Source organism: Homo sapiens, chromosome 11 (genome assembly GCF_000001405.40).
Source record: "Homo sapiens chromosome 11, GRCh38.p14 Primary Assembly".
Lineage (NCBI taxonomy): Eukaryota > Metazoa > Chordata > Mammalia > Primates > Hominidae > Homo > Homo sapiens.
The window spans coordinates 123,174,935-123,193,885 of NC_000011.10; the positions used below are offsets into that span (position 1 = coordinate 123,174,935).

At 45.5% G+C, this 18,951-nt stretch overlaps 1 protein-coding gene across 1 annotated transcript in view, besides 2 other annotated features; it reads right to left on the bottom strand.

Annotated features, from left to right (window-relative positions):
* The window catches only part of CLMP (CXADR like cell adhesion molecule), a 125,377-nt gene that overhangs the window by 105,063 nt on the left and 1,363 nt on the right, over positions 1-18,951 (bottom strand). The window lies entirely within an intron of this gene.
* Positions 5,645-6,146: an enhancer, noted in NCBI's record as "H3K27ac hESC enhancer chr11:123051287-123051788 (GRCh37/hg19 assembly coordinates)". NCBI's record gives its function as "activates a minimal SCP1, AML or CMV promoter by ChIP-STARR-seq in primed H9 embryonic stem cells {active_cell/tissue: H9 hESC(primed)}" and the evidence as "EXISTENCE:reporter gene assay evidence [ECO:0000049][PMID:30033119]".
* Positions 6,147-6,646: an enhancer, noted in NCBI's record as "H3K27ac hESC enhancer chr11:123051789-123052288 (GRCh37/hg19 assembly coordinates)". NCBI's record gives its function as "activates a minimal SCP1, AML or CMV promoter by ChIP-STARR-seq in primed H9 embryonic stem cells {active_cell/tissue: H9 hESC(primed)}" and the evidence as "EXISTENCE:reporter gene assay evidence [ECO:0000049][PMID:30033119]".

Genomic DNA, 18,951 nt, shown 5'->3' on the forward strand with positions numbered 1-18,951 from the left:
TCTATTGCAAAAGTGGTAGCTTTTCTTTGGTGTTTTAGAGACAAGATCTCGTTCTGTCACGCCAGCTGGAGTATGGTGATGCAATCACGGTTTGGTGCAGCCTTAAACTCCTGAGATCAAGTGATCCTCCTGCCTCTGTCTCTCTAGTAGCCGGGACTGTGGGCCTGCACCACCATGCCTGACTTATTAAAAAAAATTTTTTTTAAGAGACGGGGTGTATTAGTCCATTTTCACACTGCTATAAAGAACTTCCCTGAGACTGGGTAATTTATAAAGAAAGGTTTAATTGACAGTTCTGCGTAGCTGGGGAGGCCTCAGGAAACTAATAATCACGGTGGAAGGGGAAGCAGACACCTTCACAAGGCAGCAAGAGAGAGAAGAGCAAAGAAGGAACTTCTAAACACTTATAAGACCAACAGATCTCACGAGAACTCACTCACTATCATGAGAACAGCATGGGGGGAACCACCCCATGATCCAGTCACCTTCCTCCCTCAACATGTGGGGATTACGGGTCCCTCCCTTGACAGGTGGGGATTACAAATTGAGATGAGATTTGAGTGAGGACACAGAGCCAAAGAATATCACAAGGTCTCACTATATCACCCAGGCTGACGGGCTCAAGAGATCCTCCCTCCTCAGCCTCCTGAGTAGTTGGGACTACAGGTGTGAGTCACCACGCCCAGCTTGCTTTTCCTTTATCTTTTATGCAAAAATACAGTTTGAAGTATTTTAGCTTTGGCTCAATTATTATTTATTTGAGGCATTGCATTGGTTGACAAAGGCTGCAAGCTTATGAGTCTCCGTGTCAACTCAATGGGTTCCATATATTGAAGAAACTTGAGAGGAAGATGTTTGTCATCTAGATCCTGCATAGAAAGAGCTCACTCTGAAAGATCACATCCTGGCCTTTGCATCAGGTGGAAACTTGAAGATTCATAGAAGTTTTGACTCCTGCAGCTGTGAGTTGCCTCAAGAAATCTTATTTTAGTTAGTTACCAAATGCTAGCCATTCCCTAGCACTAGAGTGTAAACTTAGGCCACTGGTCCTTGACATTTTCATTGCCTCACAGGGGAGTAAGAAAAAATATAGATGATGTAATCTGCATGTGTATAAAATAAGGTGTTATTAAAATACTTAGAATAGTGTCTAGTGTACATTTAGCACTCACTAAGTGTTAGCTATTGGAAACAGAGAGCTGTCCATGAATGGTTGCCAACTGCCTTTTTATCTTTGTTTTTGAAATTCTGCTTCTTTTTAGGAATAATTTTAACAGCAGGATGGTAGTTTGTATTTTGGTTTAAAACTATAGTCAATAATATTCTAAAAGTGAGCCCCTGATTTTGTGCCCAAGTTTATTTTTGAAATTACACTAGTTCCTGAAATAAAAAAAAAATTGAGAAACACTCATTTAGGCATGTCTGTATTTGAAATCACACTTTGATGTATAAAGATTCCTCTTTGAGTGACCCAAGGAAGCTTAACCATTTGGGCGTTTTGTTCAAGGAATGAGTATCTCTGGAAGGGAAATGGTAGGCTGGTGGCCCGCAGGCACCACTACTCCACAGGCTTCCTTTGAAGGTTGAGACTGAGCCAGTGGGACCCTAGTTGCTGAGATTCCACCCCCATGCTGGTAACTATTCCCTCTCACTTTGAATGCCTGTTCTCTCCTGGCTCCTTAGCACCAGCTGGGGCTGTTGGAGGTGGGAGCTATATCTGACCCCAGAAGCAGCCTTACCAGTGACAATCTGTCAGGCCAAGCCTTACCTTTGCTTGGAGTTAACAGTGCATGTGAAGGAGACAGTGTATGCATCTCCCTGGTTCTATTTATATTACACACAGAGAATCACCATTTTGGGTGTCATATACTAATACTTTATATGTGGCATGTGGTGTGACAGACACAAGGGTAGTGCTATGCTCAGCTCTAAGTCCTGCCTTGAGGTTTAGGACAAAGTGGGTCATTCACTTGTCCATTCAACAAGTACCCACTGAGTACCACATGTTAGCCACTACAGAGGATGCAAAGAAGAATCAGATCAGCACCATGCCTACAGAGAGCTTATGGTCTAGAAAGTGAAAGAATACGTGTGAATCATCACATTTTGAAGGGTAGCAGGTGCGGGTGATTGTTGCCATAACAGAAAGTTCATGAGAGCTTAGAGTAGACAGAGATTAATTTGATGGAGGGGAATATAGACAGTCTTAGGGTAAAGATGGTACTTAGGCCATTTAGAGGCAGTCCTAGAGCAGGCTTCTGTCTGAATTCAGAGCCCTTCCCTCAAAATCCTCACTGCTTTGGGGTGTTTTTGCTCCTTTGATGCAGTGTGTATTTGGGAGGTGCGGTCTTAGGAAGCAAAAATGAGGCAATAGGAAGCAGATGGGAGGGTGGGGAGTGGACATTGGCCCTGTGCCTCCTGTCTCCTGAGCATCTTCTTGGAGGCTCTGGTGGGTCACTTCATCCTTGCTGAATCAGGAACCCTCAGCTGGAGGACCAACACGTTTGGGTTACATTTACGTCATCTTTCAGCCCCAAGGACTTAATGGTAAATTTATTCTTGAACTCACATGAGGGGTTCATGGGAATCTGAAGAAGCCAAACAGGGCTGTAAACATGGATTCTGGGCCTCAAGATCAAAACAAATCATCAAACTACAAAGTTGTATGGGAATCCAGAAGCAAAGGGAGGATGACAGGTTCTATACAGTCTGGACTATAGCTGAGATTGCAGGCATGAGCCACTGTGCCCAGCCTTGAGATGCCATCCTTTTTGGGTTTATGACACATGTTTAAAACATCTTGATTGTGGTGATGTTTCATGGGCATATATGAAACTCAACCAATTATATAGTTTAAATATGTGCAGTTCATTGTATGTTAATTATATCCCAAAAAATCTTGTTTTTATTTATTTTTATTTAATTATTTTATTATTTTTAACACGGGGTCTCACTCTGTTGCCCAGGCTGGAGTCTGGAGTGCAGTGGCACGATCTCGGCTCACTGCAACCTCCGCCTCCCGGGTTCAAGCGATACTTCTACCTCGGCCTCCAGAGGAGCTGGGATTACAGGCACGTGCCACTATGCTGGGCTAATTTTTTTTGTATTTTTAGTAGAGATGGGTGTCACCATGTTGGCCAGGCTGGTCTCGAACTCCTGACCTCAGGTGATCCACCCGCCTCAGCCTCCCAAAGTGCTGGTATTACAGGCATGAGCCATGGTGCCTGGGCCAAATCTTGTTTTTAAAAAGTGTACTTAGAATTGGTGTCAAATGACCTCCATAGAGCAATGGCCTCCATAGCTCAGGCTCTACTCCTCTGCCCAGATTAGACTCCCCTGAAGAGCCTCCTTTTGTGCTAAGTCATTCTGTAGGAGAGGTCAAGTGTGCCATCACCAGAAAGATGGTTTAAATGGGAGAATATCCAAGTGTGCATCATTCCTCACTTGGATTCCCATTGCCTTCATTCCATTCCTTCACTCTAGCATTTTTCTCATTTTCGCAAAGACACCCAAGCTGAATCCTAGCTTTTTGACAGTCACTAATTGAGTGCCATTGGACAAATTGCTTCTCTGAGTTTCAGCAGTTTGCTCATCTATAAAATGGAGTTATTTGATGGTTGTTATGGAGATTAACTTAGTCTACATATTGAGTGCCTGGGACATAACATGACCTCCATTCATGATGGTTAGCATTATTGTGACAACTAGAAAGGAAGGTTAAAGGGATAGGAGTGTTACATTTGTAAAAGAGAAGAGCAGGATGGGAGATGCAAATGAAAGGACTCTCTCTATTTAAAGGGTTTTTGAGTAGCAGGAGGATGTGTGGCTGTGGTGTCTTAGGACATGGCCTCTGAAGCTTACAGGGCCTCTATCTTTGGGCAAGTCATTTAAATCCTCTGAGCCTCAGTTTACGTATTGGTAGAATGAGGATTGGTGCTTTGTACTTCAGGGTGTGGTTGTATTACATGAGGTTCACATATATGAAAACGTCTAGCACAGTGTCTGTTACAGATAAATTTAAAAAGTGTTTTTTTAGGGATTGTGTCTCCCTATGTTGCTCAGGCTGGTCTCCAACTCCTGGCCTCAAGCAATCCTCCTGCCTCAGCCTCCCAAAGTGCTGGGATTAGCAAACATGAGCCACTACACCCAGCCTGATAAATGTTTTTAAAACATCGCTTTATAAATTGGAGGACCCTTTACTTGTAAGGCAGTTATGGCCATTACTAATATTTGTTACCTCGGTTGGTGGAAGATGCCAGGAAGGGAAACTCCAGTTCAGAGGAGAAAGTCCTTTCTCATGGAAGGAGCTGCCTGAGAGTGGAAAGGGCTTTGCAAGTATTGAGCTTCCTGTTGTTTGCTCAAATGGAGGATGCATGATCATCTTTCAGAAAGGGATTTCTATTGGGTGGAGGCGGGATAGAGAGATTTGTAAAAGTTTCCAACAGGTCTAGCTCTCATCTCTTGTGTCAGAAAGAAAGGAACAAGGAAGCCTGGGGAAGGGTGGAGTCCACACAAATGAGCTGACACTCATTATAACAAATACTGTAATGGCAAACCCTAGAGCCGCTAGAGGGGTCTTGTTCATGAGGCAGAGAGAGTGGAGATTATATACCTGTGTTTGTGCTAGGAGGGGGTTTGGAAATTCTGGGGAAACCACTCTTGTCTCTCAAAACAAGAACTGTTGTGCCCTGTAGTGGGAAGGGCCAGTGGCAACCAAGTACCAGTGATCCGCAGGGGGCAGAGGCCAGTGTCCTGGGCCCCCTTTGCAATTACCAATACAAGATGTAAGTATGCCTTAAAATCCTTGGGCTTGCCGGGGGTTCAAAGAGCTTTGGGCTGGGAGCCAGGCCCCTTGGCTGGAGTCCCAACTCTGCCACCAACTAGCTTTATAGTTTAAGGAAAGTCCACCCTAACTTCTCTGAGCCTCTGTTTCTCTCCTTCCCTCCCTCCCTTTCTTCCTGAGAGGCATTTTCCATGGACCAGTAACACTGGCTAGGAACTTATTGGAAATTCAGAGTCCTAGGCCTCACCCTAGACTTAAATCAGAACTTGCATTTTTAAACAAGATCCCCAGGTAAATTCTAAAACTGAGAAGCAGGGGCTTAGATGGCTTGAATAACATTAACTTATGGAGCCAGCTCTAAAGTCAGACTGCCTGGATTCAAATTCAGGCTTCATTGCTTACCAGCTGTGTCACCTTCAGTGAGTACATGAGCATCTCTGTGTCAGGCACTGTCCTAAGCACCAAGGACCCAGAAGTAAATGAAGTAAATGATATAGACGAAGTCTTGGCTATTGCAGAGACAGGCAGTAAACAAGTACATTGGCACATTCGGTCTAATGTGTGTGTTTCCCACAAAGCTCATATGTTGAAATCCTAACCCTCAAGGTGCTGGTATTTGGAGGTGGGGCCTTGGGGACTGATTAGGTCATGAGAGCAGAGCCTTAGAAACGAAGCCCCAGAGAGCTCCCTTACCCCTTCCACCACGTGGCTCTCTATGAACGAGGAAGCAGGCCCTCACCAGACACCTAACCTGTTGTGCCTTGCTCTTGGACTTCCCAACCTCCAGAACTGTGAGGAATACATTTCTGTTGTTTATAAGTCACCCAGTCTACAGTAATTTGTTAAGCAGCCTGAACAGACAAAAACAGAAATGCATAGGAGTAAAAAAAAAAAAAAAAGACACTGATAAGTGTTAGGGAGAAAATATAACAAGGCAAAGTGATAGTGACTAGGCAGAGTCCCTGGTTAGCTGGGGCAGGGGTGAGAGAGGGTTTCAGGAAAGCGCTCACTGAGGTGGTGTTTGCACTGAAACCTGAAAGGCAAGGAGCCAGCCTTGCAGCCATCTGGGGAAAGAGCATTCCTGGGCAAGGGAAAAACAAGCGCAAAGACTCTGAGACAGAAACCACTTTGGCATCTTCAAGGGCAGAGGCTTGGGCAGAGTCAGACTGTGTGGGAAGCTGGATGCCTGGAGAGAAGGTCTCTATTCTTAGTGATAGGAAAGCACTGGGGGCAGAGCCAGCAGCAGCAAGCAGACTGGGGGCCCGGGGTGTGTGCATGTGAGAGGGTCTCTGCCTCCAACCTCAGTGTCAAGAGCATCAGCTCATGCTGCCTGCAGGGGAAAGAACAATGCGCAATCCAGTCTATGGCTCCCCACAAATGAATACCACACAGCGTGACCTCTATAGCAGAGAGGGAACCTACACCTTCTCCCTTCCAGTCTATCTTCCAGCAGGGTGAAAACTGAGACCCAGAGGTGAGTTGCTCAGTCACTTCCCAACACCGCCACACAGCCTGAGAAGGTCTCCAAATTGGCCTATAAACTATGAATGTGTTCTCTTTCCAGAGTGAGACTGAACAATTTCACAACTGTCTCCACCTCATCCCCACATGTCTTTTCTCCTGCTCTCTTCCTAGGTCCCAGGCTCTCTGCAGCTCCTGCCCTGGCTCACCCCAATGCAATGCCCTCAAGCGATTGCTTTCGCCTCATGGTAGATATTCTTGCTCCACTGTGAGCTGAAGTTAAGTTCTTCCATCTCCCTTACTATCTTTTCCCAAAACTTTTGTTTCACTTATTATCTCTACCAAACATTTTGGCAATGAATTCCATTCCGTCCTACTTTGTTCCCCAGTTTCTCTCCTTTGTCAATCTGCTCCCCGACCAGGCTCTCGGGTCTTGTACGGCACTATCTCCACTCACAGTACCAGGCAAGGGAGTTGCCCTGTAAGTGAAATCTGTGTTTTCCTCTAAGATCCACCCCCAGCTAGCCCTTTGAGATCCCAGGGAAAACAATACACACAGAAGAAATTGTTATAAAACCAAACCTAGGTCAGAAACATTTCACCCCATTCTGAGAAAAGTGACAGTTCGATTTCTTGTTGTCTGGGTGGGATTAATATCACAGCAGAAATCAGCTTTGTCTGAAACAGCTCGAACTGAACGGATGAACACATTCATTTCCAGGCCTGCCTGTCATTCCCTCCCCTGGGCTGCCCTTATTTTGGGCTCCCTACTGGGCATGTGACTTGGAATAGAGAGAAAGTCGACAAATGTGGGTTATGCTTCTTTTAGTTCAAGGCTGCTCCGCAATCCTAGAAATACAAATGTCTTTTCCTACCTTGCTTGGTGCCTGCTATTTTAACATCTGACAGTCTGGTTTTAGAGCAAAACATTAACAAAAGATGACACTCAGCACCCATTTAAAAGACTTTTACAGTGACTTTGACCCAGGATGACACACAGCACCGATTTAAAAGACCGAACAACTGCTCTGACCCAAGTTTGCTTTGAGATAAGCCAAGACCCTAGAGAAGCTGGTGAAGCATCCTGCGAAGAGCTGGCCAACCACTTTCTCACCTGGAGCACAGATTCCATCACTTCTGTTTCCATCCGAGCGAGGTCATCACCACAGGGTAGGACAGGCTGGGGAACCATGAATAACTCATTTCCAAATCTGGGTTAGACTCTTGCAGCAGGGAAGGGACCTACAAATTTTCCCTTCTGATCTCTCCTTGGACAGGGTGAAAATGAGACCTAGATTCAGAGCCAGGCATCAAACAGGAAAACATGTAGTCTTGGAATACCTCTTTGGTGGCCTAATTATTTCTTCAATTATAACTACTGAGGGTCTACTCTTCACCAAGCGTGGTTCCTATTATATGCTTTACCCTCTGGGCGTTTATTTCCCTTTCTGAATCCTCAGGCCCAAGAACACAGGCTACTGCTGTCCTCACACACAGTCTGGTTTATTTGCTGTCCACTGTGACACTCCAGCCCGACCTCGGCAAAAGGGTGTAGGCCAGTGAATCCAGAAAACTCCAAGGCCTTCGTAAGAACATCATCATTTCAAAGACGCAAGAAAGGCTTAACCGTGAAATAACTCAATGCCCACACACCCTCACCCAGCACTCACGCACCCTCCAGCCTTTCATTCCATTTGGACTGAATGTGGACCCTTAACTCCTTTCTTCCTCAGTTTATAAACCTAAGTCTTTTGTGCCAATGTGCATCACCTGAGGTATATAGCAAAGCCATAACATATAAAATGCAAGCTTAGAAAAGTGAGGATGTCACCTCTCTCAGGTCAGATGATTCAGGTATGAATCTTCATTTCCATAACTTCTGTCAAATGTGCCTTCAGTACTTGCTCTTCTATAATGTTTTTCCCCTTCCATGGGGATCTTGCTAAAATGTGCATTCTGGTTCAGTGGGTCTGGAGTTAGTGGGTCTGAGATTCTGCATTTCCAACAAGCTCCCTGGTGAAACCACTGCTGCTAGTCTGAGGGTCACTTTTTTTGCTGTTGTTTGTTTGTTTGACAGAGTCTTGCTCTGTTGCCCAGGCTAGAGTGCAGTGGCGGGATCTCGGCTCACTGCAACCTCCATCTCCCGGGTTCAAGTGATTTTCCTGCCTCAGCCTCCTGAGTAGCTGGGATTACAGGCACCCACCATCATGCCTGGCTAATTTTTGTATTTTTAGTAAAGACAGGGTTTCACTATGTTGGCCAGACTGGTCTCGAACTCCTGACCTCAAGTGATTCACCTACCTCGGCCTCCCAAAGTGCTGGAATTACAAGTGTGAGCCACTGCACCTGGCCTGAGGGTCACTCTTTGAGTAGCAAGATACTCTACTACTAGGGTGACCAATTAAATGGCTTTCTTGGGACTGTCCCAGTTTTAGCACTGAGAATCCTGCATTCCATGTCCTGAGGAACCCACAGGACATGGGCAAACAGGATGCTTGGTCACTGTATGCGTGAAACAAATCTCAAATCTCAAATCTTCCCAGAGAAGACAGCCTTACCTGGCAACCATCTTTCAGGGAAAGCTCACTGACTGCCCACCCGATGTGCTGGGGTGGGGATGAAACACAGAAGCCATAAGCCAGCACAGAGCCCTGCTGAGTGCGGTGGGGTGTGGCTGCCACTCATAATGGGGCTCCTGGTCATGTGGGGCAGTAGGATGAGTAATGATTCAGGAGCCAGAAGACCTGGCTTCGAGTTTTGATTTGACTAACTGGCTGTGGTAACACCAGAAAAATTTCTTAACCTCTCTGATCCTCATCTGCAAAATGAAGGCTGTCATCTGTCTCATAATGTTATCTTGAAGATTAAATGTGCTAACATAGGGATAAGCACTTAGCCTAGAAATCATATTTTAATTAATTAATTATTACTTTTTTTGATTAATTTCGCTTTGTCGCCCAGGCTGGAGTGCAGTGGTGTGATCTCAGCTCACTGCAACCTCTGCCTCCCGGGTTCAAGTGATTATTCTGCCTCAGCCTCCTGAGTAGCTGGGACTACAGGCACGTGCCACCACGCCAGGCTAATTTTTGTATTTTTAGTAGAGATGGGGTTTCACCATGTTGGCCAGGCTGGTCTCGAACTCCCTGACCTCAGGGGATCCTGCCGCCTCGGCCTCCCAAATGCAGGAATTACAAGCATGAGCCACCGTGCCCAGCCGAAATAATATTTTTAAAATCCCACCAAAATTTTCTGTGCTCATTAGCTGACTTGTGTTTCTTCTGCTCATGCTGCCTCAGTGATACCCAGGCAAGGTTAGTGATGAACAGGGTGAACCTGGCGAGGCGGAAGCAAAAGAGGAAAGGAGAGGAAGAGGGCCTTAAACTCCATGCACCACGGAAGGAGCTCCTGAATTGGCTCAGAGCCCATACACGACTCTTGCCATTCTCTGCAGAGGACCTAAAAGGGCCAGAGAAGGAGTCAGTCAACATTGCTGGGAGGGCTTTGACCACTAATAAGGCTAAAGTTCAAACTAAAGCTGAAAGGAGAGGCCACATGTCCTAAAAATTACTAAGTGAAAAGTGAATCAGCCAACCTTCTCCTGGAACGGGATTTTACATGCATTCATACATTTGTTTGTTCCCTCATTCATTCATTTGGCAGGAATCTAACATGTGCCAGCCGCTCACCGGGCTTGGTATTCCTGACAATACGACACTGTTCCCTGCTCACAGTCACCAGGAAAGACAGAGAACCCCAAACTGTACCATAACATGCCACAAACTATTCTAAAGGTGTGGACAAGGTGCTCTCGGGGCTGAGAGGGGCGAGCACAGCTCTGTGTCTGGAGAGTCAGGAAAGCCTCTGTAGATGAGGCGGCGGATGGGAGGGAGCTGGTCAGGGTAGAAGTGGTGAAGAGGTGGCTGGTCACAGGGGATGGAAGGTAACAGCGTGGAGGTCTTCAAGAACAGGGTGGGGGACCAGGGGACAAAGCACCACTATTAGCTTAGGCTGAGGAGAGCAAAGGCTTTCAGGAGTGGGTGCCTCGCAGAGGTTGTGCAGTGAGAATTTGGGAGAGTTGGGGAGGGAGGGAGAGAGGAAAAGGGGCAATACATGAAAGATGAGCTTGACGGAGTTCACGCTGGTCTTTGTTCTCTGTCTGTCTGTCTTGTTAAGTGCCAGATCTGAGGGCAGGCCAATTTGGCGCCAGGGGAGAGAGAGAGAGAGAGAGAGCAGGAGGAAGGTCAGGCTGAGGCAGCAGCATGTGGGGACGGTCACCTGCATTCCTCAGGGCTTGGGAAGCTGCAGGACTCCGGGAACAGGGTGTGAGAGGCAGTGGAGCAGAGAAGGAGGCTGCGGAGAGGTGGCCTCGTTTCCGGCCTCCCCTCCCTGGGGATGGAGCGGAGGCAAGGCGGGAGCCGGCTGCCCTTCCCTATTGGTGGGAGTGGAGTCGGGTAGAGCTCCCCCAGGGGAAGGCAGATGGGTACCAGGCCTCCGCTGAAAACCCGGACTCTGCCTGCCTGGCCCAGGACTTCATTCTGAGTGGGAATTCTAGGCTCGCAGGAATCTGGGACACCAGTTTAGCCCTCTTTAATGAGGAGAAAAAATCGCACTTTGCTGTTCAGGTCAGTGGGAAGAAAAAAACAAACAGATTTTTCTTCTCACCTTGAGGTTTTCCTTTCCTCCTATTTAAAAAGCAAACATAATTCAACACATCTTGTATTTGGGTGTAGGGCTCATTGGAGTTTAATTTTGATCAGGACAAATGACTGCCTGGAAACTGGGGGTGAGGAACTTGCAGCTCCCACAGGCCAGGCCTCTCAGTGGCCTCCTGTCTGTCTGTGTGTCACTGTACCTATGTGACCTGGCTGCCTCGTCATGCCTACTTCCCAGATCAGTGCTGAAGAGGGCAAACTCTGCTCGCGTCTGCTGTTTTGCTCTATTCAAGCTGTACAGCCTAGGATGGAATACCTTACCTCTTATGTCTCACTTTTGTATCCTGTAATATAGGGACAATAATACCAATCTCACAGGTTGTTTAAGAATATAAGAAATTACTTGTCTGGAAGTCCCTAGCACAATGCCTAGTCCATAGTACTTGCTCAGTTAAACATTACTTAACACTGAAAGCAGAAACGAACCAACCAGTTATAAGCCCAGGCTGGGGCAGCCTAAGTTGGCACAGGCACTCGGGGGCATGAGTCAAGAGGGTAGAACCCAGGAAAAGAAGACTCACAGCTGTGATATGCCAAGCAGCGTAGAAGGGCACCTCTTGCCTAGGGCTAAATAACACAAAAAGTTGCTCTCCCAGAGTAGCTGTGGAGAGTTGGGGCACAATTTGTGAGCTTTTTTTTTTTTTTGAGATGGTGTCTCACTCTGTCACCCAGAGGCTGGAATGCAGTGGCGTGATCTCAACTCACTGCTGCAATCTCCGCCTCCCAGGTTTGAATGATTCTCCTGCCTCAAGCTCCCGAGTAGCTGGGATTACAGGCGTGCGTCACCACACCAGGCTCATTTTTATATTTTTAGTAGAGACAGGGTTTCGCCATGTTGGCCAGGCTGGTTTTGAACTCCTGACCTCCAGTGATCCACCCGCCTCGGCCTCCCAAAGTGCTAGGATTACAGGCATGAGCCAGAGCCTGGCCAGAATCTGTGAGCCTGTTGTGGACCTGGAGCAGGGCAATATTCCCTAAAGGACACTAGGGACTCACCTATAGGGTGAGGAACCACAGTGGCCAAAGCCCCAAATGCTGGTGCTGATGGCCTGGTGGTCGCTGACTTCAAGCAGACCCTCCAGATACCCATGAACTGACCCTCCCCCAGAAAGGAAACTCATGATAATAACAACAGACATTCATTTACTATTTATTACGTACCAAGCAGAGCGTTAAAACTCTTACGCATCACCTCATGTAATTTTCACAAAAAAACCTCTATGACATTGTTACTAGATGCAGTGGCTGATGAGAAACCTAAGGTTGGGGAGGTGAAGTAACTTGCCCAAGGTCACACAATTTTCAAGTAGACAAGCCTGGCTTCCAGCAGGGTCTGGGGAGCCCAGGGGCCAATTCTTACAGCGGTTGCTCCATGGCTGGTCTACATGGAAGCCGTGTGCGCCTTCCCTGCTGTTCCCTTGAAGAGTGATTGGAAATAATTGGAACTGTCATTGGAAGTAATGAGAAGTGACAGAGGTTGGGTTAGAAGGCTTATTGCTCTAAGTCTGAACGATCCCCACAAACCCAAGCCTATATTTAAACAATGAAGTCACAAAGCAATTTCTCTCTCAGGGATTTCATTTTTCCCTCTTTCCTCCCCTACCAAGAAAAGAAGTATGACTACACTGGGGCTGAGTCTCTGCTTAGTACAGTGAATTTCTCCTGGAACAGAAAAATTCCTCTTTGGCTTGATCCTATTCATTTTCCCTGTGGAGTAATAAGATACAAACCTGGGGTGAGTAGATGGCCATTCTTAATTAAGAGATCCAAATTCACAGATACATTTTTTTTCTTTCTTTTTTTTAGAAAACATCCCATGAGAGATGAGGACTTAGAGGTAACTGTGTCACTGGCAGGTTGTGATGAAGAATGAGACCATAACCTTCAATAGGCAAGGACATTGGGAGTCTCAATCTCTCCAGGAAGCTCCTGGCTGAATGCCAAGGATGCACTGATTAATTCTACTCATTTCTGACGCTGATGGGTGATCCATCAACCCACCAACTGCTTATTTAGCGTGATCTCAATAATGAGCAAGTGCTGTGAGGGGCACAGGAATATCAGACACAGTCCCCGAAGACCTGCATGAGAAGAAATACACAGCAGCCAGCACATAATGAAGCAGCTTCCTCTTTGGGACTGCTAGAATCCTTGGTACTTTCCTCCAAAATAGCCTCCTCATGTATCTGACATTCCTTGTTCGTGAATACGTCTCTCCCACTGAGCTGAATTCTTAGAAGGTAGAAAGGGTGCCTTTTGTACGATCGGGGTCTCAGAGCCCAGCTAGGGGCCCGAACTCTAGCAGGCGCACCCGCTCTGTAATTGTTTTGTGTGAGACAGCGTGTGCCTGAAGTAGGAAATGTTACAGCTTGGATGTAAGCCCTAAAGAAGATCTTAAAAGGGACATCACTGAGCTGCTCCCGCCATCCGTGAAATAGAACGCGCTCAGAGGCTGCTCTGTAAACACCAGGAGGTCAGCTTAGCTTGGCTTTTTCATCCCCTACAGTCTCTGTGCCTTCCTCCTCCTCTTCCTCCTCCTCTTCCTCCTCCTCTTCCTCCTCTTCTTCCTCCTCCTCCTCCTCTCCTTTCTTCTCCTCTGCCACCGTTCGTGACCTGAACTTTCCACATCCCCCTTGCTGCCGCTCTTTACAAAAACCCCCAATATTCCACACCCACTGAGGGACTATTCTGAAGATAGTTGCCCATTTTCTCTTCTCAGTATGGGCACAAAGGAAACAGCTTTCTCCCCTGCCTGCTGTTGAAACAAAGGAGCATTCAGTCTTCTCACCGCCAGGCTTTGGCTGAGGCTCCACACACAGTGACCCAACCGACTGCTGCTAACAAAATAAAGGTTTCATCTCGGCTTTCTCCCCCATTTTGGTCTGTGTGGTGCCAAAGGAAATAAACTTTTATTTTTCCAGTATCCAGACATCCAGATAACCAGAACTTGAAGGGGAGGAAGCTATGGTTTGCATTTTTTCTTTAGGAAACAAGTAAGTCAGAGGTGCTGAAAACAGGACTTTAAGCAGAAAAAGCAACATATGAGGTGAGTCATACCCAATCCATAAACCTCATCATCCACAGTCTCAGGATAGTGTCAGCAAGGGAAGCTCATGCATCTGACCCCAAAGCATCTGACCTCTTGGACACTAGAAGGGTCTTCTGACGTATTAGAAGGAACACTAGTAATCCATACATGATGTGTGTAGAAGTAGTTCTCAGTTATAAACAATAGTCATCCAAACACATTTCTTAACCATTGGAATGGAGTGGGGGAAGGGGATGGGTAATAAATGTTTAGCAGAACTTTCCACTTTGGGGTTTAAAGATGAAGCCTCTGCTTCAGCCTGATCCACTCTTCTCAGTAACACAGAGCCTTGATTTCAGAATAACCATGTGTCTCCTGGTAAGTGGAAAACACATGGTTTTTGGAATCCAAAGTCCTGGGTTGGTGTCCTAGCTCAGCTGTTTACTCGCAGTGTATTCTAGAGAAAGAAGCTCACTTTACTTCTCTGAGCCTCCATTTATGTATCTGTGAAATGGAGTAATAATAATACTTACTCTCAAAGAGTGATTTGAGGTGAGATAAGGTATGTTAATATACTTCGTAAACTACTAAACCTTGTACAAATGTTAGAAATTAATTATACTGTCATAATATTCCTGCCCATATAATCCCCTGTCAGAGTACTACAAGTGGGCTGGTAATATATACATCTCATATTTCAAAATCCAACCACAAGTTCAAATCTAGGCAAGGAATCCATTAAGCTGTACATTTACTAGGTATGCTTTATATGCACATTTTGCCTTAATTTTAAAAGTAGAAGAAAATGGCCAGGCACGGTGGCTAATGCCTGTAATCCCAGCCCATTGGGAGGCCGATGATCACTTGGGGTCAGGAGTTTGAGACCAGCCTGGCAAACATGGTGAAACCCCATCTCTATTAAAAATACAAAAAATTAGCTGGGCGTGATGGTGGGTGCCTGTAATCCCAGCTACTCAGGAGGCTGAGGCAGGAGAATCGCTTGAACTCGGAAGGCAGGGGTTGCAGTGAGTGGAGACTGTGCCACTGCACTCTAGCCTAGGTGACAGAACAAGACTCTGTCTCAAAAAAAAAAAAAAAAAAAAAACAAAGCTCCTGCTTACAAATAGTTTTATACCGTAGCCCCTCTGCACTGAAGTCTATCCTAGGTGTCCATGCTTGAGGCTGTTCTGTAGGTAACCCTGCTTAAGATGAGGTCCTTTTGGTGAGTATTTCAGTTACTGAACTTCCTGGGTGGGGGGATCGGGCCATCACCCTGAACCTGAATGGTGCTCCATGGCTAACAGTGCCGCAGGGCAGTTCCAGGATGGAGATTACTACTGTTTTCTTCCAATTAGTTCGTTGACCCTTCTTGGTTTATCATCATGTGCTACCAATTGCCATGAGTGAACAGTGCCTGAAAAAATCAATAAGCAGGGTAACACCCATCTGTTCCTGATGACAACCACATCTGGACCAGCCAGAAAATTCTCAGAATTAAAAAAAATTCAGAGAATGTTACTGGTATAAGGAAACTTAGAGATAACCTTAATCTCATATTTTCATTTTACAAAGGAGAAAACTAAGGCTCAGAGTGGTATGATTTTCCTAGGCTCACCCAGAAGAAATGATTAAGGAGCTAAAGCTATTGATTTCCAGTCCTGTTCCTTGTACACATACACCCACATCTTTGGGACTTTGAGTATTAATTCCTTTCTCCTGAATACACCAGACATACATGACACTGCAGAGTTCCTAGGACTTCCAGTTACGTTGGCAAAATTGAAATGTTATGACGCCTGCCTGATTTTTCAGGCAATTTCTCATATAATAAAAACCAATGCCAATTATTCAGCATTTAGCTCACTTAACTGAAGCATCACAAGAGCAGCTGTGATCTTGAAGCTTAAGTACATGAGCTGAAAAGGAAGGAGAGACATTTTTCTATTTCAAAAATGTGTAATAGGATCATGGAATTCGGGTTCCAGTCTTGGCCCTTCTACTGAGCTAGCTGTATAACCTTAGCCAAACCTCTCTGAACTTTGGTTTCTTCTTCATCTTAAAAGAAGGCATAGATTTAGATGAAAGATTAACTTGGGTTCCAAGGAAAAGTATCAGGAGGTCTCAATGAGGTCTTAAATATTATTGGCAAATTTGATGTATACATGTCTTTTTCTAAGAAGTTGGTTTTGTGATTTTCATCAGATTCTACAAAGGGTCTGGGACTCAAAATTTTAAGAACGATTGATTTAAACAGTCTCTTAGTTTTCCTCCAGTTCTGGCAATCTTTGACTCTACCTTTAAAAAATATCCATCATCACTAGATGCATTCATGAAATAATACTCATGTGTACCCTGCCCAGATAAGCACAAGACAAAAATAGGATATGACTAGATATAAGCCTACAGGGAATATATCGTTATTATGACCATCACCATTAAAGTGGGAAGATAAGGGTAGGACATGGAATCCTACTGAGACCTGTCGTTATCTTACAGACCAATGGACTATGCATTCATGCCTTCTTCAAACTCACTTTCTGCGAAACCAGGCTCCTTCCCCGTGCTGGCAGAAGTTTCAACAGGTAAGTCTATTTTTAATCTGGTACTAGCACACACGATATACAAAATAAATTTGTATGACAAATATATTATCTGGTCCCTATCCCTGTAATGTTCTTTGTGAATTTTTTAAAAATAGGACTGGTCCTATTTGCATTAATAGACAAGGAAGCTCAAAGCAAGCTGAATTAAAACTGGGCTCCTCACTATTGGGTTATCCCGCAGTCAAAGGTTAGTGATCTTCCAAATTTTTCACCTCTCTTGACCTTAAAGATTTCAAATACTTCAAAAATCCAATTATCTCTTAACAAATAGTTCACAAGTGTTTATGCAAGGTACTGAACATGGTTCACAGGTGAATGAGACACTGTCCCTGCCTTCATGGAGCTTCCATTCTAATGGGGTGTTAGATAAGCATTTGGAACACCATAATACAAAGTAGCATAAGAGGAAGGCTATTGGGATTCAAAGGTCAAATAGACTACTCAAAAGAAAAAAAGTATATTCAGCTGGTGAAACCATGGACAGGTGTATGGAGGAAGTGGCATTTGAGGTGAGACTTGGGGAATGAACATGATTTTGATCTGCAGTGGCAGGAAATAAGGAGGCAGTTTTGGTGGGGGGATTATCATAAACAAAAGCATAGAATTAGAAAGAAGCATGGGACATGTTTTGGGCGCATGAAGTAATTCAGGTTCCCTACCGAGTATCTGGGGGTGAGTAGAGGAAGAGCTGTGAATGACATTATGTAAAGTCTTTGATGTCAGAATGAAGTGTTTATACTCAACACTAAAAGCAATGAGACTACTAAAGGTTTTTGGAAGAAGGGAGAAAAACCATAGAATTATAGAAATTTTGAATTGAACATTCCCCTACCCCTATGCCCATTGTACAGACAAGGGAGTCAGAATAAGAACCAGAGAGGTTGCCAGACTCTTAAGTTCCAGCTTCGTGCATTCTACCAGCGGCCTCACAGGGTTACTCGGGTAGCAGTGTGCAGGATGGAGGAGAGAGGACAGGCAGGACAGGAACGTGGCAGCTACTATAGTCATCCAGGAGAGAAGTTAAGGTGGCACAATGAGGGCCGGAACGTTACGGGAGTGAGGCAGGATAGTGGGTCAGAAGAGGGGCTGAGCTGGAGCTCCTTCTCTCTTCTCCATGGGGCTCAGAGCACTTCTTATTCATTCACATCAGAGAGGTGGGTTATTTGACCTCACTCATTGGCAGGTCCAGGAAACATGGAGTCAACTGTCCCACAGTTCAGACGATGAACACTCTCCACCCTCCCAGCCCCTGTTTGATACTGTGCAATCTTTAGAAAAAGAGAAGCCAAAAACCATGCCAGCCAGGATCAGAAGCAGCCCTGGAACTGCCCCTTTAAAGGACCAGTATGATGATTTCAGGATTCAGACAACTTGCTGTGTTTTCTTTCTGCCTTTGCTGAACAGTGTCCGAGCATTCCATGGCTCCAAACCATTTCTTAAATAAGGACAGGTGCTCAAAAAGTGCAAATTTTTTTTCCCTTTCCCAGACCTCTCTCCTATAGGTCACGCTGACATCTTACATTCCATGAAGAGGATGGTGAGATCGAAGAGCCAGCCAGGTGTGGCAGAGGGTAAGCGCTTTGAGAATCTCTGCAGCCACAGGAGGCTGTAAAGCAATGCGCTTTAGCAAGCTTTCTCTGGAAGCAGGCAGCCTGCGCTCAAATTCCGTCTCCCCTAATTATGAGTGTGTGGCCTTGAGCAAGTTACCTGGCCTTTTTACAGCTTGGTTTCTTCATCTGTAAAATGAGGGTAGCCAACAAGGATGGCTGGGCAGCCAATAGGCTTGTTGTGAAGAACAAACGAATTACCAAGATAGTACATATAAAGTGTTCATATAACAAGGACTATTAGCTGTTTTTAATAAGAGAGCCCTGAAGTTTCATTCTACTAAATATCTGGTGATTGGTAACCTAGTGGTAGAGTCCAGTAAAGGGAATCAAGGTGCCATCCAGCTGCGCCAGATGTGCACAGGAACAGTATTGCAGTATTTGGTTAAGTCTAAAAGAGTTTAGAAAATAACCCCTCCCCACCTGCCTTACTTGAGCAATAGTTTGGCTTAGCCCACCTCTTTCATTTCTCTAACTTAAGTGATTATCAGCCTGAGGCTGGCCAAGATGGGTATGCATACAGTATAATTGGTTTGTAAAGTTTCAAAAAAGACAGAGAACTCTAACCACGTATTTCAGGATTTGGTGGTTCTTCTAGACACCAGCCTCCTTCAAACCTCTGGTGTTGTAGGCTAGAAGGGACTTAGGAACCATCTAGTATTCTCTTTCCAGAGCTAAAGACGTGGAAGCCCTGGATAAGGAGTAAGTTGTCTGAGGCCACCCAGCTAGTCAGTTCAAAACCAGGACCAGCTCTCCC